At 41.7% G+C, this 24,949-nt stretch overlaps 1 long non-coding RNA gene and 1 pseudogene across 1 annotated transcript, besides 4 other annotated features; one reads left to right on the top strand and one right to left on the bottom strand.

Moving 5' to 3' along the window:
- Nucleotides 10,222-10,271: a silencer, noted in NCBI's record as "silent region_17586". NCBI's record gives its function as "represses an Ori minimal core promoter by ATAC-STARR-seq in GM12878 lymphoblastoid cells {active_cell/tissue: GM12878}" and the evidence as "EXISTENCE:reporter gene assay evidence [ECO:0000049][PMID:35858748]".
- Nucleotides 10,794-12,191, top strand: PTPN11P3 (PTPN11 pseudogene 3; annotated as a pseudogene).
- Nucleotides 17,581-18,780: an enhancer, noted in NCBI's record as "CDK7 strongly-dependent group 2 enhancer chr6:138020371-138021570 (GRCh37/hg19 assembly coordinates)". NCBI's record gives its function as "activates an origin of replication core promoter dependent on BRD2, BRD4, P300/CBP, MED14 and CDK7 cofactors, with strong dependence on CDK7, by STARR-seq in HCT116 cells {active_cell/tissue: HCT116}" and the evidence as "EXISTENCE:reporter gene assay evidence [ECO:0000049][PMID:35650434]".
- On the bottom strand, nucleotides 17,599-24,949 carry LOC124901411 (uncharacterized). The gene is made up of 2 exons (XR_007059789.1): nucleotides 24,787-24,949; nucleotides 17,599-19,337 (listed from the first exon to the last, which is right to left on the bottom strand). It is a non-coding gene; the product is annotated as an uncharacterized LOC124901411 (long non-coding RNA).
- Nucleotides 18,641-18,770: an enhancer, noted in NCBI's record as "active region_25144". NCBI's record gives its function as "activates an Ori minimal core promoter by ATAC-STARR-seq in GM12878 lymphoblastoid cells {active_cell/tissue: GM12878}" and the evidence as "EXISTENCE:reporter gene assay evidence [ECO:0000049][PMID:35858748]".
- Nucleotides 21,958-22,127: an enhancer, noted in NCBI's record as "experimental_90467 CRE fragment used in MPRA reporter constructs". NCBI's record gives its function as "activates a minimal promoter by MPRAs in K562 erythroleukemia cells, with activity observed for both the introgressed and non-introgressed 6:138017109 variant alleles {active_cell/tissue: K562}" and the evidence as "EXISTENCE:reporter gene assay evidence [ECO:0000049][PMID:34662402]".

Raw genomic sequence — 24,949 nt, 5'->3', positions numbered from 1 at the left:
AGTCAGCAAGAGGGCCTTGCTAGGATGAATTTTCCAGCATCTTGATCTGAACTTCTAGCCTCCAGAACTATGATAAATTAAATTTCTGTGGTTGTAGCCACCTGGTCTGTGGTATTTCATGTCAGTCATAACAGACTAATAAATAGGCTATCTGCCCAGTATTCTCAGAATTACATGCATAAAACACTAAACTGACCCTATGCTTTTCAAATCCCCAAGGCTGCCACTGCCCACCCCCATGACTTTTAAGTCCAAATGCTTTAGCTTGGAACCTGAGGCCACCCTCTGTTTCGTCCCCATAGTTACCTGCCCAGCGTCTCAGCCTTTATATTGTTTAAGGCAAACATTCTGATCTCATTGTCCTCAAAACCCACATGGCATTTTCTGAAGCCACAGTGAAGCATGATGCCTTTGGGGAACTGCCCGTGGTTGCCATGGCTGCAAGGTGAGTCTACACCAAAGGATGGCAGGATGTGAGTGAGAGGAGTCACGTTGCAGACATGGCTCCCTCCTCCCTCTCTTCCTTGTTAACAGAGTCCTCACTGAGTTTAGAGAGGAGAGGTGCCCAGATCAGAGGCAAATAATGATGTCTAAGCTGGGGGTCAGCAAACTATTTTCATAAAGGGCCAGGTGAAGGTAAACATTTTGGGCTTTGTGGGTGATATGGTCTCTGTCACAGCTCCAACATTTTAGTGCGAAAGTAGCCATAGGCAATACATAAACAAGGGAGCAGAGCTGTGTTCCAATAAAACTTTATTTACAAAAGCAATTGTTGGACTAGATTTGGCCTTTGGGGCATAATTTGCTACTCCCTGATCTGCCAATCCCAGAGCAATGACATTGTTGATCTTCTGAATCAAGTGTAGAACAACTTTCGGATTTCTTGTTATGTGAGAGGCAGAAAACTCCATCTTTTAAAGGTCTTTTTAAGCTCTTGCTATTCACAAGTTTGCCTTAGACCAGCAGAATCAGCATCACCTGGGAGCTTGTTAGAAATGCAGAATCTCAGGCCCCCACTCCAACCTCCTAAATCAGAATGTGCATTTTAATAAGAAGCCCTGGTGATTGGAAGGTTTACTAGAGCTTAAGAAGCACTGATTGGAGCCACTGTTGATTGAATGTCTTATTACTTGCAGATGAAAGCACCCCTAACCATTGCTGGCAGGAACAAGTCTTCAAGATCTTATATGCTTTGCTAAGGACTGTGGTTTTGTCCTGAAAGACATTAAAGGGCTTTACGTGGGGAATGAAATGATCAGTTTTGGGAGGCATACAACTCATCTCTTTGATGAAATAATAAGCTCCTAAAAATCAGAATGTACTAAAGAAATATCCCTGATATTTATCCTACTTTCCAAGGCCAGCCAAATAGGTAGACCCCACCACTGCCACACCATTGGATGGAATTCAAAAGCAGCCTCGCCTCTTCTATAAGACCTGCTCTCCTGTCCATACCTACTGCCTCAGGCCCCAGGAGGAGTCTCTGTTTCTGGCATATCCATGGGGCTTAAAAGTAATTGGAAGGCTGTAACTCCAGCATTGTAATTTGGCATTTGAGACTGGAGAACTTTAATTTTAGTTATACTTAACACTGCCATCCCCCAGCTTGGTTCAATTTATCTTCTGAATATATGTTCACCTCTCCGATAAGACTATAAGCTACTTTGGCCTAAGCAATCATATTTTAAGATTTTTGCATCTCTTCCATAAGGCTTGCCAAGGGCTCTGCATATGACTGTCATGATAAATACAAAATTAATTCTTAAAATATAAGCCATCATTTACTGCTTTTCCAAGCTCTTCAAATAATACCTAAATGGGATAAGCATCTCGAATGTGAATATCATTCATCAGCTAAGTTAAAAATAGTACAGTCAAAAGGATCCAAATAACATCAAATTTTTTGAAAGGTGGGGCTTTTCATATTGTTTATGGTTAGGTTCTAATACACCCAAGGAATGGTTTGAAAAAGTATTCCGCACAAGCATTTGCTCGTATCAAGTCACCACATCTTCCTGTGGTTGGTTTATGAAGAGCTAAAACCCAAACAAACACCACCTCTTACACAGTCACCCAGAGTGTTAGTACTTACATGGAGAGAGCACGTCATAAACCCTCTAGACACATTGTCTCACTTAAACCATACAAAACCCTAGGGTTGGGTAGATTATTATCTTCACTGATGAAGAAACCAAAGTGCAGACTGTTGATGTCAACTTAGTGAAGATCATACTGGTAGAAATTTGGTGGTGGTAAGAGGGGACAGTTGGAATTCAAATCCAGATAGTTAAGCCCTGAGTCTGCGCTCTGAACCATTAAGCAGTGTCTCCATAAACAGAGCTTTGCTATGTCAAAGGCCAAACTCTCATCACCCTATTTTCATCTGCAGGCATCATCAGCTGGGATTTTCATGTGACAAATAACCTATGTTAAGCCGAGATATGTTAAAAATAAAATGTTAGAAGCCACTTATTCTATGGTCAGGTTCAGTGAGTGACAGTTTCTATGTTTAAAGCCTTATCCCATTATGAGTTAATGGTTTGGTCTATCATGATTAACACTGGGAAATATCTTTGAAATCAAATTAGAAGGTTTTAGTTTTGTTTTGGCAGTTAGTTATCATAGAAAGTTTTTCTCTGTCATTTCATGGTCTACAGTAAAGACTGTTAAAGGAGTACCTGTAATTATGATCTTATTGATCTATTTAAATTAGAGAGTTTATTACAAAGCTTATGACCATATCCAAACAATTAAATTAAAGCATGGAACAGTATTTCAATGACTCTGGGGAGCATAGACAGCCAGGTGGGATTATTGAAAACTGAAAGTGGATAGTTTTGTCTCCAGGTAATTCTGATCATCTGTCCTGATTCATTCAAGAATTTCAACTCTTATTTTCCCCTGGATTCCAATATTGACTCTGCCATTTTCTGAATCAATATGATCTTCAAAAATCACAGATCATCTCTAACAAAGGCTCTTTATTCTCCAAGATGTAAATAACTATGACTTTGTGTTGAGCAAATTGACACCAAAGGATTACCTTTTATATGCCTTGAAATTATGTATTAAATAATTGTTCCTAGAGATTTTTTCCCATTTCTAAAGCCAAGAGGCATTAACTATTTTAAATGGTAGTGAATTCACCAAGATAAGTTTGTAGAGAAAAACTAGTGGCCCTACTTTAAGTTGTTGCTACAGAAATTTCAGTTTTTAATAAAAGGATATATACTGTCTTCCACGAGTCGGTCTGTTACCAACAATTATTGTGTATGAGTCCTTTTTATATAGGAGTGCATTTCTTTTAATTGTGTGCACATATATTGATTGGTTGTAGAAAGCCGTTCATTCCTGACATCCTTTTTGGCTCTTTTTCCTTCATTTTTCTCTTGTCACAAGTCCTTTCATCCAGAAACTCTTTTATCCATCCATCCAATTGCTCAAGCAAGGAACCCAGGAATATCCTCCTTTGAATGCAATCAATAACCAAGTCTTGCAGATCAGATTTCCAAAATAGAGGTCAAATCTAATTCAATGTATCTTTACCACTCTTCCCCCAGTCTAAGCCATGATAATTTCTCTCTCTATGTGAATGTCCACCCCTGGAGACAGACACAGGGTGACACTGTTTGGACCACTGCAGCATCCTCTTAAACTCCTCCATCCACTTCTGCACCATCATCCATTCTCCACACAAAAGTCAAAGTGGAATATGTCCCTCCATTTTTTAAGTCCCCCAAGGCTTCCTGTTGACCTTAGAATAAAATGCATGCAGGGAGGGTCTGGCTGTTCTCTAGCCTCACCGAGGCCTTTCACTGCATCTCAGCCATACTGACTGACCACTTTGTAGTCTTCTCCTCTACCTTCAATTCTGCCAAGACACCCACTTACCCATCAAGGGCTTGACATGTCCTATAGGTTGCAATTCCAATATTTTTTTTTTAGGAGATCTCTCTAAACTTATATGCTAAATTCAGTTCCTATGCTCTTCATCCCAGTTCACAGAGTCCTTCCTCATAGAGAGCCTTTGTGTTTGTGTGTTTATATATCTATCTCTTGTGTTTATATATAATCTCTTTCTCAATAGATTATAACCTCCATGAAGGCAAGGACAATCACTTTCTGGTTGATCCCTTAGCGTTGGATCAGGCACATGGTAAGCCCTCAATTATTATTTGTAGAATTAGTAAATCAATATAATCTGTAACACATGGAATCTCATGAAATACAAAGTGAAGGTCCCTTTGGAAAACAAAAGTAACAATTCTTAAAGATAAATGTCATAATTCAGAGGCAAAGTTTTGGGGATCAACTACATGTTAATACAGGATTTGTTTCTGTGACCCGAACCAATAGAAATGGAAATATAATGTGTTTGAGAAGCTATGTGGCAAAATTACTCGGAAAAAAAGTCAAATATAAATATCAGTGTCTACCATAAACAACAAACACCACACAAAGTGGTTTTTCCCAATAGGCGTGTTCCAGCAATACATGTGCAACCTCATCCAATAATCCAGCTTCTTTCAGGCTCCCTGTTGAGCAGAAGCAAGTCTGAGATAGCTCCTTTCCCAGAGCCAGGACATGAGATTTTTCCAGAATCAGAAAATTGCCCTACATGTCGGGGGGAGGGGCTCTCACAAGCATAGTCATCAGAATCAGGACATTGGACATCTTTCACCCTGTTTACAAGCATCTATAACAAAGCAGTTTGACACTTTTCCAAAATGGAAGTTCAAGGTTAAAGTCAATTTTATCTTATTTGCTTACGTATGTACAAGTTAGTGGCTAAAAAGCAGACTGTCCACATCCTATACATCAGTTTGATCCTCTACAACCAGCCCAATAAACCTTCCATAGCCTTTGTCAATAATGTTGTTTTCAATACAAAGCGCTTTGTATTTTTACACATAAAATCTAATCTGGCTTTAAGGCAGGTATTATTATGCCTATTTTACTGCTTTAGTGGTTGATACCCTAGTGTCTGTCAGCTCCAGACTAAGCTGTTAATACTCAATTTTCTGATGCTGGGCTGGACTCTGATATCCCTATTATCTCCATGTCAGCTCCCAGTTGGGTTCTGCCCCAAAGGACCGTGAGGAGAGACTGGAAGGCAGAAGGAGGGAGAAGGGATTTCATCCTCTCTATTTGCTTCTTGTGCGTGGCAGTGCCAGCGGCTCTTCACCAGGCAGAAGCCTTTGCCCATTCCATCTTCCAGCTTCTTTCTACTGTCCCTGTACCAGCCTCATTGCATCACTCTGGTGCAATGTCCGCAGCACCTGGCAGTGCCTCCTTCTCAACAGAGGGGCAATGCAGACCCCATCTTTGCGCATGCTTATATGCATAATAATAAATGCACAGTGAAAACATTGTATTCCCACATCTAGCAATAATAGAGTTAGCTACTCACTGAATACATATTGAAATATTGCTGCAGTATGACCCTATGTTCACATGAATAAGACAGCTTTACAGAATTATAAAGTGACATTTCAAACCTCTGAATTTTCCCTACACTATTGATTGTTCAGTCCTATCCATGTTCCTTTCTATCTGGAATACCTGCCCTTCTCCCAGACCTGGTCCAGACCCCTCAAGGCCAAGCTGCACATTTTCTTCTGTGAAACCTTTGAACCCCATGGCAGACAGAATTAGCTGCTCCATCTACTCAGCTCCCATTATTCCCTGGATACTCTTCTCACGGACTTGAGAGACAGAAAACACATGCATGAGCTTGGAAATGGCCTGGCTTGGCTTGATTCTTGACTTGAATAACTCATTTCCTATGTGAGTTTGGATAAGTTATTTAAGTTTCAGTTCCTTCTTCTGTAAAATGATACTAACTTCTCCCAAATTTCTCCCTCCTGCATTTGTGGCATCTCCATCTTTCCAGCTGCTAAAGCCCAAATCCTTGGATGCATCATTGACTCCTCCCTTTGTTTCTCCCCCACATCCAATCCAATAGCAAATCCCAGTGGCTTCACTTTCAGAACATAACCAGAGTCTCATCACTACTTACCACCTTTACTGCTACCATTTTGATCTGAGTCATGGTCACCTTTGCCTGGCTCATTGCAGTAGTCTCATAATTGACCTCCACAATCTTTCTCTATTCCCTTCTGGTATACAGCAGCCAGACTGATCACATAAAAATATAAATTTGACCACTTTCCTGTCCAGTGGAAAACCATCTTAGAGTAAAAGCCCAAAGTTATTCCAATGACCTATAGAGCCTGGAAAGACAGGTCCCGTGTGACTTCGAACTTTAGTTCCTGCCACCCTGCTCACTCCACGTGGTCATACTGGCCTCCTTCCTGTTGCTGGAGCTGGCCAGGCAAACTCATGGCTGAGAACCTCTGCATTTGTGGTTCCCTATGTCTGGAATGATCTTCCTCAAGATAGCTACATATCTTTCTTCCGCACCTCCTTCAAGTGTTTGCTCAAATGGAACCTTCTCAATCAGACCTTCCCTGAGCATCGTATTTAAAATGGAAACCCATCTCCCAAACTCCTTATCTCTCTTCCATGCTTTATTTTGGAGGCTGTAATACTTTTTTTTTTTTATCACTGTCAAGTGGAAAATTATTTTCATTGCAATCAATGGCAGCCTCTGAGTCCACAACTAGGCAAACTCTTCCAGAAGGGATCACAGATCAAATGAAGGTGATGGAATCACATGGTTTATTAAATTGACTCAAATTCCTGCTGGAGAAGTGGGGGTGAGTTAACATGCCCCACACGGCACACAAATGGGTAAAAACCCTAACCAGGACAATGTTCAGATGTCTGTTTCTTTCTCTACCACACCAGCCTTTCCTGGCAGTCACTAGGACCAGCACTGAAGTTCTTTTTTTTTTTTTTTTGAGACGGAGTCTCACACTGTCCCCCAGGCTAGAGAGCAGTGGTGCGATCTCAGCTCACTGCAAATTCTTCCTCCCGGGTTCAAGCAATTCTCCTGCCTCAGCCTCCCAAGTAGCTGGGATTACAGGCACCCACCACCATGCCCAGCTTATTTTTGTATTTTTAGTAGAGACAGGGTTTCACCATGTTGGCCAGGCTGGTCTCGAGCTCCTGACCTCAGGTGATCTGCCCACCTCGGCCTCCCAAAGTGCTGGGATTACAGGCGTGAGCCACGGTGCCCGGCCTAGCATTGAACTTTTCAGCATGGAGTCTCAGCAGGTGGAAACGGTATGAGGCTCCAGCACATGGGCGTGGCTGGTGCTTGCCAATTAACCTGCTGAGCAGCAAGATTCTATTTGGTTTTTGGGGGCAAAGGTCACTCAAGGTCAGAATAAATTTCACAAATGAGTAGCCAAATAAAGAACTCATGAATATCGAGTGTCTCACATATATTACAGTGTTATGAATCTCAGGTATCCTGGCGCTGCCCTTCCTTCCTCTTCCTGTGTGTATACGTATGACCCACTTGATCTTTCTAACCTGTCTCTCATGCTGCTAACTGATCTTCCTATACTTAAACATGAGTTTCACTTATTTCAGTTGATTTCTTCTTTAGCAGAATTGAATATTCTCAAACAATACTACCAATGCATATTATGGCCTTCTGCCATCTCACATTTTCTACTTACTTTATTATCTACCTAACTAAAGTGCCATGAACACAAGAATTTTCATTTGTTTTCTTCACCAATGTACCTAGATGTGTACTTAAAAAATAATTATTGAAAAAAATGAAAGAAATTCTGAAAACCATGAGGCTTAAATCAAATAATATTTGAATTGTACTAGAACAGGAGAGAAAATGACTTGGAGCAGGATGAGAAGGTGAAATTGAAAGCCCATGCTATGGTCCCTGCCCTGCTGATGTCAATCTCTTCCCAGGCCCATGGGTGTGGGAGTGCTTAGATGCTCATTCTGAAATTCTGGAGATCACCCATTCTTCTGGAATTGCTCACTTTTCTTTCTATGCTCTCCAAGTAGCTGTTCTTTGGCCCACTTGACTCACAGTCAAACTAGTTTCAATCTTGTACTCCTGAAACATTTGTTTAATGAATGAATATCCTGTTACAGGTTGCCCCAGGACTTCAGAGCCCTGATGAGGACTGATACTTAAATGACATCAGATATTAACCCCAATGAGTTTGTGCTTCCTTCAATCTGCAGGGCTTCATTCAACCTGAAGTTGCCCCCTGGAGGGCCCTGAGCACATCCAGGCCTAAGCCTTCGCGTTAGTCTGCTCAGGCTGCTGTAACAAAAGATCGTAGCCTGGGTGGCTTAAACAACAGAAATCTATTTCTCACAGTTCTGGAGGCTGGGAAGTCAAAAATCAAGGTGCTGGCTAATTCGGTTCCCTGGTGAAGGCTGTCTTTCTGGCTTGCACACATTTGTCGTCTTGCAACATGGTCACATGCCTTTCTTTGGTGCACGTTCACACAGAGAGAGAGAGAAAGAGAGGGAGAGAGAGAGAGACCTCTTCCTTCCATAATAAGGTCATAAGGCCACCAGTCATACAGGATTAGGGCCCCACCCTTATGCCCTCGTTTAACCTTAACTACCTCCTAAAGACCTGTCTCCAAATATAGTCACATTGGGAGCTAGGACTTCAATATATGAATTTTGAAGGGATAAAATTCAGTCCATAGAAGACCTAATTTCTTCTTCCCGCACAATGTCACTTTCCTTTTTTAATGTTATTATTAACTTTTAAAAAATGTATACATCTCCTGTAAAATCCACATTTTAATCCTTTGTTATTCCTGGCTTGCTTCACTCATTGATTCTACCTACCCAGCCCCTTTAGACATTAAAGTTTTTATCCGATGCCCATTGATTTAACCAGGGACTATATTTTCCAAACTGAAACTCAGGACATACAACATTATCACTATGAATATGCTTATGGAAGAGTAGAACAAAAAGCCAGAAATTGGGATTGTCTTGGAATAGTATGGATATGCAGAAAATGATGATAAATAACCGAATTCTCCATATTTGTATGACAGTGATTGAGAAGAGTATTAATGTAGCTTGATGCTTGGTGCCACTCAAACCCACCAAAAGTTCTATTTGCCCATTTAGATGTTTTGATGGTGAGGAGCTTGTTGGTGTTGGGCTGTGGAAGATACAAAGGTTGAAGACAGATGCTGTTCTCCATGATAGAGCTTTGCAAGTTTTCTTTGGCCCATGATGTAAAGCAAGAAATTTTACTTTACAACCCTGCAGACTGTGATGCATTCTGATCTGTTCTATTCTATTCTATTCTTTCTACAATGGGTGTTATAGCCTACATAATTGGTTTTCAAAACATGACTCTATTGCTATGTGCATTGGAAAAAACACAGTTCTTGTGGGCTGGGTCCAATAGGTTTTGGTTTCCTTTCTGTTAAAAAATATTTTGATTAGCATGAAGGTCTTTTTGTTTGTTTATTTTTGTGTTTTAATACATGTAGGTACTAGACTAGTATCTAGAAATAATTTCATGCTCTTAGAAACGTATCTGCTGGAACTTTTCTATTCACAGATCAGAGATTTTTGGAACTGGAAGGAACTGCAGGGGTCAAGTCAGAATACATGGCTCAGGAGTCTTTATGTTGAAGCTCCAGTGTTTGGATGCAGTGATCTTAAAAACGCAATTCACAAAAATTGTTCTCTTTGTTTTTTGACTCTTCTAACAGAACTCATCTTCAATTTAGTTTGCTAATTGCCTGTGTGCCATGATCTTGTTCTCCTTTGCAGAGCTCACAGGATGGGTTTTTGTTTTGTTTTGTTTTGTTTTGTTTTTAGTTTCCTTGCTGTTTTTCCAGGTCACAGCACCGCAGTCGATTGGTGATTGTGGTTTGAGGTCACCTACAGAAGGCGGGGCGGGGAACCCAAAGATTTTATTGCACACCTCAAATTGCTCTCTGATGACACCAAGAGCGTCAAAGTCCTGAGGCCGAGTTGTCAGTGAACATTCGCCAGGAAAAGCAGGGGTGAAGCTGCTTATGGGCGAAGATGAATCCCGTGCTGCCATCTATTGGTAATGTCATGAAACAGCAATTTTTAATACCACCTGATTTTTAAAAAATTTGTTTTGGGGGGAACTATAGTTCACTGTTACCTGTTCTCCAAATTTATATTTCCCAAGAAGTCTTGATTTCAAGTGAAGGAATCTGTGGATGGGAATGACCCATCTTTAACCCTAATGAACTTTGTCTGTAAAGTGAACCAAGGGGACAGGGGAATTCCCACACCGTCTCATTACTGCCCAAGCCGACACACTTCCCTTTGAGGATGGTTTGAGGGAAGGAGGGACTGTCTGCTTGTCAGAGGGATTTCAAAGAACACACTGTTCTCATCCTTCAGATCTTGCCGATTGCTTCATGGGCTGCCCGAGATTACCATATGTTTTTTGCAAAGGGTGACTTCAAAACAAAACAGAATAGACCCTCTCTGTTTTGAAGCCTGTTGATTCTAAATGCTACACCATTGCAAATAGTTCTCTGGGTTTATTTATTAGCAAGGGAAGCCAGACATCAAGGACCAACCACTTCCATTTTAAAAAGATCCCTGTTCATTAAAAATAAAAATAAAGTAGCCTGGAGTGCAGCGGGGTGATCATGACTCATTGCAGCCTTGACTTCCTGGGTTCAAGTGATCCTCCCGCCTCAGCCTCCACTCCCGGTTAGTTTTTTGTATTTTTTGTAGAAACAAAGTCTCGCTTTTTTGCCCAGGCTGGCCTCGAACTCCTGGACTCAAGCGATCCTCCTGCCGCAGCCTCCCAAAGTGTTGGGATTACAGGCGTGAGCCACTGCACCCAGCCTACTATCTTTATCTTATAGAAAGAAAAGAAAGGAGGAAACTGAGGCTTGGAGACAATGGTTTCACCCAAATATCAGTGGTGTGGAGGCAGAAAAACCTATTGTCGACAAGAGGAGTTGATGGCAGTTTTTTGGCAAGGCCTAGTAAAAGTACCCCTGGAGACTTCACATGTTCCATTAGAAGAAATAGAGCTGTCACCCACATCAAGATTCAGAACACTGGTGATTACTAGGACCCGTTTGGGGGGAAAAGTTTGCCACTTCGGCTGAGTTGGTCCAGTATTACATGGAACATCACAGGCAATTAAAAGAGAAGAATGGAGATGTTGTTGAGCTTAAATATCCTCTGAACTGTGCGGATCCTGCCTCTGAAAGATGGTTTCACGGACACCTCTTTGGGAAAGAAGCAGAGAAATTAACTGAAAAAGGAAAACATGGTAGCTTTCTTATACGAGAGAGCCAGAGCCACCCTGGAGATTTTGTTCTCTCTGTGCGCACCAGTGATGACAAAAAAGAGAGCAATGACAGCAAGTGTAAAGTGACCCATGTCATGATTCGCTGTCAGGAACTGAAATACGACGTTGGTGGAGGAAAACGGTTTGATTCTTTGACGGATCTCGTGGAACATTACAAGAAGAATCCTATGCTGGAAACATTGGGTACAGTACTACGACTCAAGCAGCCCCTTAACATGACTCGTATAAATGCTGCTGAAATAGAAAGCAGAGTTTGAGAACTAAGCAAATTAGCTGAGACCACAGACAAAGTCCAACAAGGCTTTTGGGAAGAATTTGAGACACTACAACCACAGGAGTGCAAACTTCTCTACAGCCGAAAAGAGGGTCAAAGGCAAGAAAACAAAAACAAAAATAGATATAAAAACATCCTGCCCTTTGATCATACCAGGGTTGTCCTACACGATGATGATCCCAATGAGCCTATTTCAGATTACATCAGTGCAAACACCATCATGCCTGAATTTGAAACCAAGTGCAACAATTCAAAACCCAAAAAGAGTTGCATTGCCACACAAGGCTGCCTGCAAAACATGGTGAATGACTTTTGCTGGATGGTGTTCCAAGAAAACTCCCAAGTGATTGTCATGACAATGAAAGAAATGGAGAGAGGAAAGAGTAAATGTGTCAAATACTGGTCTGAAGAGGATGCTCTACAAGAATATGGGGTCATGTGTGTTAGGAACATCAAAGGAAGTGCTGTTCATGACTATATGCTAAGAGAACTTAAGTTTTCAAAGGTTGGACAAGCTGTACTCCAGGGGAATATGGCGAGAACGGTCTGGCAATACCACTTTCGGACCTGACCAGACCACGGAGTGCCCAGTGACCCCGGGGGCATGCTGGACTTCCTGGAGGAGGTGCACCATAAGCAGGAGAGCATCATGGATGCAGGGCTGGTCGTGGTCCACTGCAGTGCTGGAATTGGCCATACAGGGAGGTTCATTGTGATTAATAGTCTTATTGACATCATCAGAGAGAAAGGTATTAACTGCAACATTGACCTTCTCAAAACCATCCACACAGTGCAGTCTCAGAGGTCAGGGATGGCCCAGACAGAAGCACAGTACCGATTTATCTATATGGCAGTCCAGCATTATATTGAAACACTACAGCACAAGATTGAAGAAGAGCAGAAAAGCAAGAGGAAAGGGCACGAATATAAAAATATTAAGTATTCTCTAGCAGACCAGACAAGTGGAGCCCAGAGCCCCCTCCCGCCTTGCACTGCAGCGCCACCCTGTGCAGAAATGAGAGAAGACAATGCTGGAGTCTGTGAAAACGTGGACCTGATACAACAGAAAAGTTTCACATGAGAAAACCTGGAAAACTTCAGCACAGAAAGTCCACAGATGTGGACTTTCACCCTCTCCCTAGAAAGATGAAGAACAGACACAAGAAAGTTTATGTGAAGACAGAATTTGGATTTGGAAGGCTTGCATTTTTGTTGACTACATTTTGATAAGCAAAATTTGAAACCATTTAAAGACCACTGTGTTGTCTCTTTCAGTGGCTGGCTGGCAGGGTAGCTAGACCTCTCACATACCAAGAGCTTGAAAGCAGAAGTGGCCAGGCCTCCTGAAGACTTAAGTCCAGAATTGTCGCAGCATCCCTTTTACTGCCCTCTGTTGATTATGATAACGATGAGGATTTTTTCTAATCAGAAGAGAGCTGGAGTATGCCCTCTACTTACTACACAAGTTACAAGCCCGGCTCAGATTCAAGAAAAGGGTATGAAGTGGAGGTGCAGTTAATTGGGGGACCACTAGTCTAAAAAACAGTCACAACCCGTGCCATGGAAAACCAAGGATATTAGCAAAAGTAGGAGTTGCCAGTGACCTTGGGAAGCCGAAGCTGCTTACAGTAGCTGGGACAAGCTGAAAGTCAGACTGAGAAATAAAGGAGGGGACTTCAAGAAGCTTCCTGAACAATTTCTGCCAGCCCTGAGCTTATTTTTGGAACCAGCACTTGGGGAAACTGATCTTGTGAGGATGGATGTTTTTAGGAACACAGGGCTTTTGAGAGCAGCACCACCCCACTGGGGCACCCCCAGACTTGGGAAATGTGATGCTTTCTTAATGTCACTGGTTTTTTAGTCAGGCCACAGTGAGAAGGAACAGCCCTAACAGGCCTCCAGCCAGGTTGAACGAGCTCATTTTTGTTTTAGCCAACCGGTAAGATTTGCTAATGTTCTACCTTAAATGCCTTTTCCAAAAACCTCCCTCTTTGCCTCATATGTTGAATCATCATTCAGTGCAGATATTTCAATGAAAATATCATTGGTTGACTTTTGTAACGGAAATAAAATGCTATGACATCTTTGACATGAAAAAATAAAAATAAAAACAAAAATGAAGACATACTTCAATCAAATTAATGAAATTCTATATTTAAAATGTCTAGGCTGGGCAAAGTGGCTCAAGCCTGTAATCCCAACACTTTGGGAGGCCAAGGTGGGAGAATTGCTTGAGCCCAGGAGTTTGAGATATGTGCAACAAGATAAAACCTCCCCTCTACAAAAAATCAAAAACATAGCTGGGTGTGGTGGTGCACACTTTTAGTCCCAGCTACTCAGGAGATTGAAGCAGGAGGATGGCTATAGCCCAGGAGGTCAAGGCTGCAGTGAACTGTGATCGCACCACTACACTCCAGCCTGGGCAGTAGAGCAAGACGTTCGTTCAAAAAAAAAGAAAAAAAAGCTTATATTGAAAAAAATGATTATTTTTATGAACTGCAATGCAATCTAACTGTGTTCACTATTGTACAATTGTAAGATTTATTTAAAATATTAATTTATAAATCTACATAGCAATGGAATGAATAGCCATGGTTTTTTCATATCTATCTATTATCTATCTATCTATCATCATCTATCTATTATCTATCATCTATCTATCATCTACCTATTATCTATCTGTCTATCTATCTATCTATCATCATCTATCATCATCTATCTATTATCTATCATCTATCTATCATCTACCTATTATCTATCTGTCTATCTATCTATCTATCATCATCTATCATCATCTATCTATTATCTATCATCTATCTATCATCTACCTATTATCTATCTATCATCTATCTATCTATCTATCTATCTATCTATCTATCTATCTATGCTGTGTACATGTATATGCCAAGCACTCTACTGGATGCTCAAATATATCAGTGAACAAAGCAGACTAAAATCTCTGCCTCTAAGAGCATACAATTCTAATGGGGGAAGATAAACAATGAATAAACTAAATAAGTCTGTTATATAGAGAGGATGGGAAATAGTAATAAGTGCTATGGAAAAACAGACTGCAGGGAATGGCAGTGGGGAATGTGTGCAGAGGGGTAGGTTGTAATTTTGAGTTGGATAGTCAGGGCACACTTCATGGAGAAGATGGCATCTGAGCAGAGACTTGTAGTTCATGAAGCAGGGAGCCATGTGGCCATGGGGAGGAGGAGCACTCCAGGCGAGGGGAGCAAGCAGCCCATGCAAAGAGCCTGAGGAAGGAGAGTGTCTGGAATAATAAAGGAGTCCAGTGTGCTGGAGGCAAGGAGGTAGGTGGGGCCTAGAACATGATTCAGGGAAGGTGGATTGTGAATTGCCTTGTGGGTTTTAGGGAGGACTTTGGCTTTTACTCTTGAGTGCAATGGGGAATCATTAGAAGGTTTTGAACAAACAAGCAATGTGATCTGACATTCATTTTAAAAGAATTATGCTAGCTGCTATTTTCAGAATAGACTGTAGGGAGCAAGAATAGACTGTAGGGAGCAAGAATTATGCTAGCTGCTATTTTCAGAATAGACTAGGGAGCAAGGACAGGAGTCAGGAGATCAGTTAGGAGGCTGCTGAAGGCAGCCAGAGGAGGGGTGCTGGTGGCTTGCACTGAGGGTATAGTGGAGTTGATGAGAAATGGCCAGATTCTGCATACAATCTTAACATAGAACTAGCAAAATTTAAGTAGAGATTCATTCATTGTGAGACGTGAGAAAGAGCAGAGTAAAGGGTGACCCAAGACTTTTGGCCTGAGTACTGGAAAATTTAGTTGGCCTCCACTGAGATTGAAAAGACAGAATATGAGGTTGTTTCGGGGGGACTTAGCAACTTCTCTCAGTCCTGTCAGAGGGTCAATGCACCTGAACCTACAACCTCACTTGGACACACTATCAAGAATGTAAATTCACAGTCTTTTTGCCAGTAAATCCCCCTTAGTTAAAAGGCCTTCCTGGCCCCATTTTCACGGAAAGGCTGCCCCGTTCCCCCATGACTAACAGACGCCCCATGATACTCCCTCATGCCTTCAGAGCATGCATTTCAGCTATGATACTTGCGTGATGATTTGCTTACTTACTATTTCTCCTGAAAGACTCTAAGTGCTAGGCATGAGAGGACTATGTCTGTTTCTGCTTCCAATTGTTTTCTCACCTGCTGGACAGACCTGGCAAGTAATAGGTATTCAATAACTATTGATTAAGGAAATAATGAATCTTAGTAAGACTTTAGGGACCAAACAGGACCTTCAGGAGCCCATAATTTTAAACTATGGGATTCCCTTGGGACTACCTAATTACCCTGGGATTATTTAGTAACTCAGAGCACTTAAGGTCAGGGATTTTTGTGTGCCAAACCCCAGCAATGGTGTGGCCCTGTTCTAACAGGGCAGCTGCTCTGAGCTGGGGAAAGTCCAGGAGTTAGGTTTGCACCTCTTGAGGGAGCAGATCCACTTTGCTCACCATGCTTTGCTCTGGGTCTGACGACTTGGCCCTCACGTCACTTGCTCTCATTCCTTCTCATTCAGTGTGGTCTTAGCCATCTTCACACCAGCAGTTTTCCATGGTAAATGCACTGATGAGGGAGAGCAGTAGTCCCTCTGCTTTTCATCCCAACTCCCTGCTTCTGCTCTCAGGACAACAGGCCCGGCCTGGATGCTAGATCTTCTGTACTTCTTAGGACTGATTCTAGAACCTCAGTAAAGGATGGGAGGTGTCCAGATTTTGGTAAGGAATGTACCTCCTCACTTTCCTCTTCTCTGCCTCAAAGATATCCCTTTCCTTGTTTATCACACCGACGTCAAATGTTCTCTTGCTCTTAGTCTCATGATCACTCTCAAGTTTACTCCAATGCAGGATTTTTCAACTTCAACACCATTGACATTTTGGGCTGGATAATTCTTCATTGTGGGGGCTGCCCTGTGTTTATAGGGTGACTGTGTTCTCTGGGATGTTTAGCAGCACCTCTGGCTTCTACTCTCTAGATGTCAATAGCACTCCTTCACAGATGTGATAATCAAAGATGTTTCCAGACATGACTAAATGTCTCTGGGAGCCAGTCGCAGCATTGATCTAAGGTATGGCTCTCTTTTGTGAAATGTCCTTGACATCTGGCCCCATAAAGTCTCACTTCTCCTGCCCTCCCCATAGTCCAACTTCTTACGTAATCCTGTTTTTTTTTTTCTATGATGGTTTTGGACTGATGAGAAGGGGGGTGCTGGCTTCTCTTTCCACTGACGACATCAGTATGTGACCCTCAAAGCTGCCGCTCCAATCACCATCATCCCTGTCCCAGGTCCTTGATGTGGTTAAGATATGAGAAAAGTACTGCTCTCTAACAGACTGCCTGAACTTTTACCCATTCTATGATTATGTCTTTATTCTCTGTATTCAGTATTTTCCTTGTTAACTTAAGAAATATTTTTTGTTGATGATAATACTGATGACGGAAAAGTAAAAAACGTTGTTAGGTGCCAAAATAACCTTTGGCAGATAATTCTGGGAAACTCCCCGATTAGTGGGAAAATTACTGGGTTTTGTATGATACTACAAGCTTTCACTAATCCTAGGAAGAGAGTTGTTATCTGGGCTGCAAATGGAGAAATCAGGGAAACAATATTTGTTATAAAATGTTAGATGAAGGGTGTGGTTATGTATGAAATAGAGCTCAGTTTTCCACATTACAATCAGAGAAATAGGAGCTCAAAGAAAGTGAGAGCTGCTTAAGAAATCAACTAATACAATTCTTTCCTTTAGGAAATAACAAAATAAAAGTCAGAGAGAATAATTCCTTTGCCTAGGGGATGTAAATAGCATCAGGGTCTGGATTTAAACATAGACCTCCTAATTCTCTGTTCTAATTTGTGATAAAGTTTTATCAATCCATGGCAAAATAAGAAAAATAAGATCAATTTGAAAAACATTTTTCTGAATGTGAATTAGTTAAATGCAATGAACTATCCTTTATCCTGAGACTTAGGCCCTTCTAACCCTTCTACCATTTTTGGTAATAAAATATTGTCCCTATTAGGAAAGAATGACTCCAGATGTATTTGGAGTTTTGGGGAGTTTCTTAATGCTTTTATTTTAGTAATCCTAATGCAATTCACCACAACTATCCCTTTTTAAAAATAAACAAAAATCTAAGAGTCACTGAAATAGAGTACTTCTATCCAAAGAACCATAGAGATGTTCTGGTTCCTAGAGAGCAAGACATGGTGCACAGACCTGTGGGTGAAACCCGATGGAGACCCATGGGTGAGTAATTCCCATGAACAATGACAGCCCAACAATGCAGTCTTGGGGTCTTCTGGAATCTCCCTCCTTCCTGCTGTTTACTCCCTTATCTCTCATTGAAATTGAATTGGAACTTGAGCATGATTCCTGATAGGAGGCCTCTCTCACTCTCTCTCTCTTTTTTTCTTTTGTAGAGATGGGGTCTTGCTATGTTGCCCAGGCTGGTCTTGAACTCCTGGCTTCAAGCAATCCTCCCACCTCAGCTTCTCAAAGTGGTGGGATTACAGGCTTGAGCCACTGCACCCAGCAGGAGGCCTCTCTGGATCACCAAGGTGGCTGTATCTGGTCTGAGCCAGAGTCCTTGGTGTATCTGGTTGGAGTGGTTGGAGGTGGGCTTCTGGGCCTCCCATTGTTCTTTCTGGCTGTGGCTTACCTTAAAATGCAAAAGTATCAGGATATTTCTCTAATATTCTTAAGCTCTCTGCCTGAGAGAAGAATATCAAGATCTAAGGACAAGCTTTTAGAATATTATAGGAGTGGGGCTGAAACTGCTGCTGTTTTGTGTCCTTAGTCCTCACTCACTCTTGTTCCTAGGAAATGGAAGGCACAAATTACTAGAAAAGCTTCATCAGACTTGAGTCACCACCAAAATGTCCTCGTATACCAGTTTGACCACACTACTCAGATTCCACATTTCCATTTTAACAGAGGCTTCTAAAGATGTCAAAACATCAATCTAAAGAAGTGAATGAAATTGCAGCCTCCCTCCTTGCCTGCCCAGCTGTAGTTAGGGGTTGGTGAGCCATGAGCCGGTGAGTTCCTTCCAGCCTGGGGCCTCATCAGCTGCCAACCAGCCCTTCATAGAAAAGAGCACACGAAGGGTTTTAAAAGAGGAAGATGACAACGGGATGTCTCAGAGATCTGAAAGCATTTTCAAGGGAAAAGGAAACCAAAAAAGGAAAGAAATATGTCATCAACATTTATCTATATATCCTCATCCTGTAGCTGAAACTTTGTTTCATCCAATTCCTGGTGTCATAGTTGTCTAAGGGGCCACATGATTCTCTACCAGGATGGGCCATTCTAGTAAGACTGCACCTGGCCAAAGATAAAGCTGTCTTTACATCTGGACTACTTCTTGGAATGTTTCAGATGGTCTCACATGAGCTCACCTAGAAACGTTTGCAACTCCAGGAAACAGCAGCTGCAAGGAGGAGAAAAGGGAGCTAACAGTTATTGAACAGCTTTGTGAGAGGTCATGTTTAGAAGCTTTTCAAGTGCTTTCTCTTTTTATCTTCTCAACAATCCCACGTGGTATCATCATCCTCATTTTATAGTGAAGGAAACAGATGCTCAGCGATGTTGGGTAACTTGCCCCAGGGCAGAAAGCAGAACTGGTCCTGTTCAGCCCAGGATCAAGCCGGAATTCAAATCCAGATCCTCCTGCCTCTGAAATGCTCTTTTCATAAGATTGAGCTTCAGTATATGTGGCCATCCCATACACTCAGGAAGTGGGGAAGGAGGATGTGGTTCCTGAGCCATGAAATAGTCCAGAGAGAATCTAAGAGACAGAATCAGAAAAACATTAGCCCTACAGTCATCATCAACACACAAGTTGAATAACATCAAGTTTTTAGTCCCAGGCTTCCTGTGGACTATCTTTCTGAAGTCCCCTGCTTGAAGGCCGTGCTGGATGGCCGAGCACTTTGGCATAGGAAGGAGAGGAATTTGTATTTCATTAAACAACAACAACAACAACAATTCAGAATTGTAATTCTCTTTTTTTTTTTTTTTTTGTGACAGTTTTGCTCTTGTTGCCCAGGCTGGAGTGCAATGGCGCGATCTCAGCTCACTGCAACCTCCGCCTCCCAGGTTCAAGTGATTCTCCTGCCTCAGCCTCCCGAGTAGCTGAGATTACAGGCATGTGCCACCACGTCCAGCTAATTTTGTATTTTTAGTAGAGACCGGGTTTCTCCATGTTGGTCAGGCTGCTCTCAAACTCCCGATCTCAGGTGATCCACCGCCTCAGCCTCCCAAAGTGCTGGGATTGCAGGCGTGAGCCACCATGCCAGGCTGAGACAATGAAAAGGTGGACATTTGATGAGCTTGTGTTTCTAACAGTTTATAGAGTTCAGAAACATGGAGATTTGTTTGCATGACACTTTCATTACAGAATTATTATTCAGTTGATTTATTCTTTCATTCCAGATCATTAATATTAACTGATATCAGGGGTGTTAAATATTTAGAGATAGAAAAAGAAATGTATCTAATGAGCAAAAATACATTTTAAGATTTAAAAAAAAAAAGAAATCAAATCTTTGGGATCCAACATGGGACTTTGGACAGCTCAGGATATCCGCTGGTTTCTGCCTGGGATCTGAAGACTGTTTACATTCCAGTGGAATTCCTGGGAAAGTCCAGAGCTCTCACTGCTGTGAAAACAATGGCTTATGGTGATAAACTCTCAACTGCCTCACCCTGAGAAGTGGCAAGGCCTGCAAAGTTTCCCTGGGCAGGATGGACAGGGCCAGGCAGCATTCCTAGGAAGAAATTGCCTTGTTTGCTGCCTTGAGCTGAAACTAAAGCTGGTTTGAAGGCATGCAGACTTCTGCCTGCTGAACCATGACTGGGCTTTGACAAAGGTGACTACTACACCTCTTGTCATCAACAGCTGTCATTGCTGACAATTTCCACAAGGAGTCACAGCCACTCTCTGGGCAGGCTGGGCACTCCTAAGGTATGGGAACCTTTTGTTCACTTCACTAGGAAGTCGTGGAGATGGAGCCAGTGATAGTTGGCCTTAAGCTATACTAAATCCCTCCTTTTGCAGAACAGGAAACAGAGGTCCAAGAAGTTCATTCAGTATTTTAACATGGCTGGTTAGTGGCAGGGCCAAGACAAGGAGCCAAGCTTCACTTATCAACTCAACACATATTAATCATGCTCTGCACCATGTGCAGGGAAAGAGCAGTGAGTGAAACTGTTAGGAAAGGAGGGATGGATTTGGGGGTAAGTCCATCCTCCAATTTTCAGTTTTCAGCCTCTTAAGAAAGAGAACTTGATGCTTGGTTTAATCTAGAAGAAGCTAAACATGGAAATATTCCTCTTGCCAGGGGTTGATTTAGGGGTGGGCGTACGATCTAGTTCTGGTCAAGTAGGTATGAAGGGAAATTTGCTATGGGGCTTGGTAATGTTTCTGGGAACAATTTTTCTTCCACTAAAGGTTGCTGCATGGGGATGTAGTGCCTGTCGACAAGCTGACATAGTACAGAAGAGAGATGGAAAAAAACCCTGGGCCCTTGACAACATCACTGAGCTGCTGAAAAACCAAACTCACAGGCCCTGCTACAACACTTGTTGAGATGTGAGCTGATAAAATTAGCTTACTAATTCAGTCAGCTGAGTTAGGTTTTCTAATGTATGTAATAGAAAGCATTCTTTAAAAATATTCAAAGTTTTAGTGGCGGATTTACTAGAATTTTCATCAAATGGCTTCTGTTTTCTCTTAGGAAAGTAGAGGATGGATGGTTTGAAGAAAGTGGAAAATCGAAAAACAGCTCCTTAGAGAAATTCAGGAGTGGGGAGGGCCTGATGATGCCCAAGCCCAAGAGATCATAGGAGGAACAACCAATTCACTAGGAGGCTTTCCTCCAGCTGTGCTCAGTAGCCCAAGAACATCAGCGGAGAGGGTAGATCATTACATTCCGCAAGGTTTGAGGTTTCTTCCTGGGCAGGTGCTTTCCTTTCTCTGCCACATTATATTGTCTTCAAGACGTTGGTTCAGTTCCATATTTGTCAATGTCTACCATGTACAAGGCACCCATAAGTTCCCGTGAAAATAGAAAAATATTTTTGTGGCTTCTAGAATGGCTCAGATGAATCCAGAGGGTCTCCCAGTGGGTATATGGCTTCATAGCATTAAATGGTCTTCAATTATGAGATTGAAAGTGTTCAGATGTCTCTAAAGACTTAACAGCTAATGAGAGACATAGATTTTCAAAGTGGAAAAAAAAATCACAGGAAAAATAAAATAAGTTCCTGTGGGCTACTTTTGAACTTCTTTGGGTTAAAACCAATGGGAATATGGTCATTAGATGCTCCAGGTGTCCTTAAAAAGCAAGCAAACAAACACAATGAAACAACCCAGAGATGATGAGCACATTCATTCATTTAATCTACCCTCCACCACTGAGTGTCTAGCATGAACAAAGGACAAGTTCACGTCCTTTGAACTGCAGACCTGCTGGAGAAACATTAATGCTGACAGCAAAATTCAGGATTTACACATGGCAGAGAAAGCCATAAAGGAAAAGCTTTCCTCTCTTTGGACAGAGGTGGGACAGCCAGGTAGGCAGCCAGGAGGTTTTCAAGGGAGTCCTCGTAGAAATTCTGTAGGCAGGAAGGGTGGGCGGCACGTTTCAAAGCAGCAGCCTTTGTGAAGGCTTGGGTGTGCACAGCAGCGAGCTTGTTTGGGGGTCTGCTGTAGTGTTCTGGGCTCCCGTGGGGTAGAGAGTTTTATTTAGGAGGAGGGGCTGTAGAGGGCCAGGATCATTTAAGAAGCATGAACTGGATGCTGCTAGAGAGAGGAAGCCAGTGGTGAACAAAGGCAGGTGAATAATGCAATCAGATTTGTGTCTTAGTAAAGGAGCTCATGCTAGGGCAGAAGCTGAACTTTGGGGAGATGCTGGAAAGGGACTGGAAATGGGGCAGGCGCTCTGGCCTGTGAGTGAGGCATTCCAAAAGGAATGGAATGCACATTTTAAAACACAATAGACTCTGATATTTTGGGACTGGGGAATCTGTAGACTATCACATTTGGATTTTCAAGTTCAAAAGGATATTTCTGAATCCTTTGCCAAATTGAGTTGGCCTTATACTTTTCTGAGATGCTGACAGAGTTGCAGAATCACAGACCAATGACCAAAATAAATTTTTGAAAGTTACATTAATCCTTTATTTCAGTGGGGTTTTTTAAAAAACAAAACAATAAAACTGTGAAAGGGATCAAAATACATACCCACAGCTACTCTTACAGCAATTCCCTTTCCTTTGAAATGCCCCTCTCACATGCTCTGCGTGCCTCTCTTCTCAGTGCACCAAATCTTTCCACCCTCAGGTGGCTCTTCTCTCCCAGCCCCCCAACCTGCCTATTCCACACTCTCCCATGCATCTCCATCCACCCACTCTCCCAGGCAGAGACACCCCGTCTTCTCCAGGAGGGAAAGTGGTTCTAGCAATCAGTGCTTTGCCTTGGAGTCAGGAGAAAGGGAGGAGGCCAGGCTCACTTCCAGATTAATTATTTTTCATTCCATCTTATTACTTTCTTATTTTAAACTTGATATATTGATTAGCCAGGACCCAATCATTGATGCGATACAAAGATTGAGAGAATTATCTGAGCAATTTAGGAAAAAGAAAGGATATTTCTGCTTTCATCATTCATCAGTGTTATTTTTCTTTTTTAAATAAATTTTATTTTCTATAGCAGTTTTAGGTTCATAGCATGTTTATTTTAACAGAGGATAAATGCCCATTCAATGCTTAAGGAAGGTTCTGACTAAGCAGAACCTTGCTACAAAAGATTTTACAGGTCACGACCTTTCCTACAAAACAAACTGTGAGAAAATGACCTAGATGTTGCCTCATGGGCAACTCAAGGGGTTCATTGGATTCATTGACATGATGATTGTTGTGTAGTTTGAAACTAAGATGTATTGAGCAGTTAAATGTGCCAGGCCTACTCCAAAGGCTCTCCTTGTGTTAGCTCATTTAATCCTCACAACCAGCCAATTATTAGCCCCATTTTATAGCTGAAAAAACTATGGGAATCAGCTAGTGAGTGATGGAGCCAGCAAGAGTTCAAATCCAGCCTATTGAATTTCAAAGCCCAATGTAATCACTAACCCTTTGTATTAAGCAGGTATCTAAAAAAAAAAGAGAACCAATAAGATATATATGTATGTAACAGGAGATTAATTATGGGAATTAGCTCATGTGATTATGGAGAACAAGATGTTACCAAGAACCGCTGTCTGTAAGCTGAAGAACCAGGAAAGCCAGTGCTATAATTCAGTTCAAGTCCCAATGTTGGAGAATCAGAAACTCCAATGTCTAATGGCAGGAAAGGATGGATGTCCCAGCTCATACAGAAAGAATGGATTCTCTCTTCCTCTGTTCTATTCAGGCCCTCAATAGATTGGCTGTTGCCTGCCAACATTGGTGAGGGCAGATATTCGTCATGCAGTTTACTATTTAAAGCACTAATCTTATCTGAAAACACCCTCCAGACAAATTCAGAAGAAATGTTTTACCAGCTATCTGAGCATCCCTTAGCCAAGTCAAATTGAAAAATTCACCATCACAAGTCCACCCCTTGCTAATCTGGCACCCACACACATCTTTTTACATCATACTTAATCTATAAATAAAGACAGCAGAGTCATAATTCCACCTAACATGATACAACTATGCTGTATACAACCAAAAATCCCTTCCCTAAAAGAAGAGGCAAAGCTCTTGAGTAAAGTTTACTCTCCTGATTTTCTATAACTTAAATACTGATTTAATATTAATAATACTTAAATCCTGGTATAAAGTCAATACACTTTATGTTACATCATAAGGAAGTAAGAGAGAAAAGAAAACTTAGATATTTCCTAAGTGTATGTTCATAGACACACAAAGCATTTATAACAATATAAGGATAAAAACTCATAAAAATTACTGTTCTTGTTTCTATAACTGGTCACACAATTGTAGGTGGTATTGATAACTACTTTCTTCTACTACCTATTCTGTATGCCCTTTGCCTTCAGCAAGCACCTCAACTGGTTATGGTTTTTTACCTGGCAGAGTGACCCAAACCTTTATACCTTAAGCATCTGAGCTAATAGTAGTTCTGCCTGGATTAAGTTGCTGTAGTTTTCCATTGACTTTAATCACAGGACATGGTAATACTAAGAGACACTCTAAGGGATCTCTTGTATTTCGAACATACTATTTCTTACCTCCATTGTTGAGCAGTAGTCCAATTTCCCCTTAGTAGTCAGATCAGCCATGCAGCCAACACTATAACTCCCTCCTTGGCCTGTTGACCCAGGCATAAGGAGCCCAAAGTGGCCTAGTGGCAGTCTTAACTTCCAGTTCAATAGAGTCATTGTTATGTCTACT

The sequence above is a fragment of the Homo sapiens genome, chromosome 6 (assembly GCF_000001405.40).
Source record: "Homo sapiens chromosome 6, GRCh38.p14 Primary Assembly".
Lineage (NCBI taxonomy): Eukaryota > Metazoa > Chordata > Mammalia > Primates > Hominidae > Homo > Homo sapiens.
Note: the sequence above shows the minus strand (reverse complement) of the source record. Positions and strands in the feature narration are given on the sequence as shown.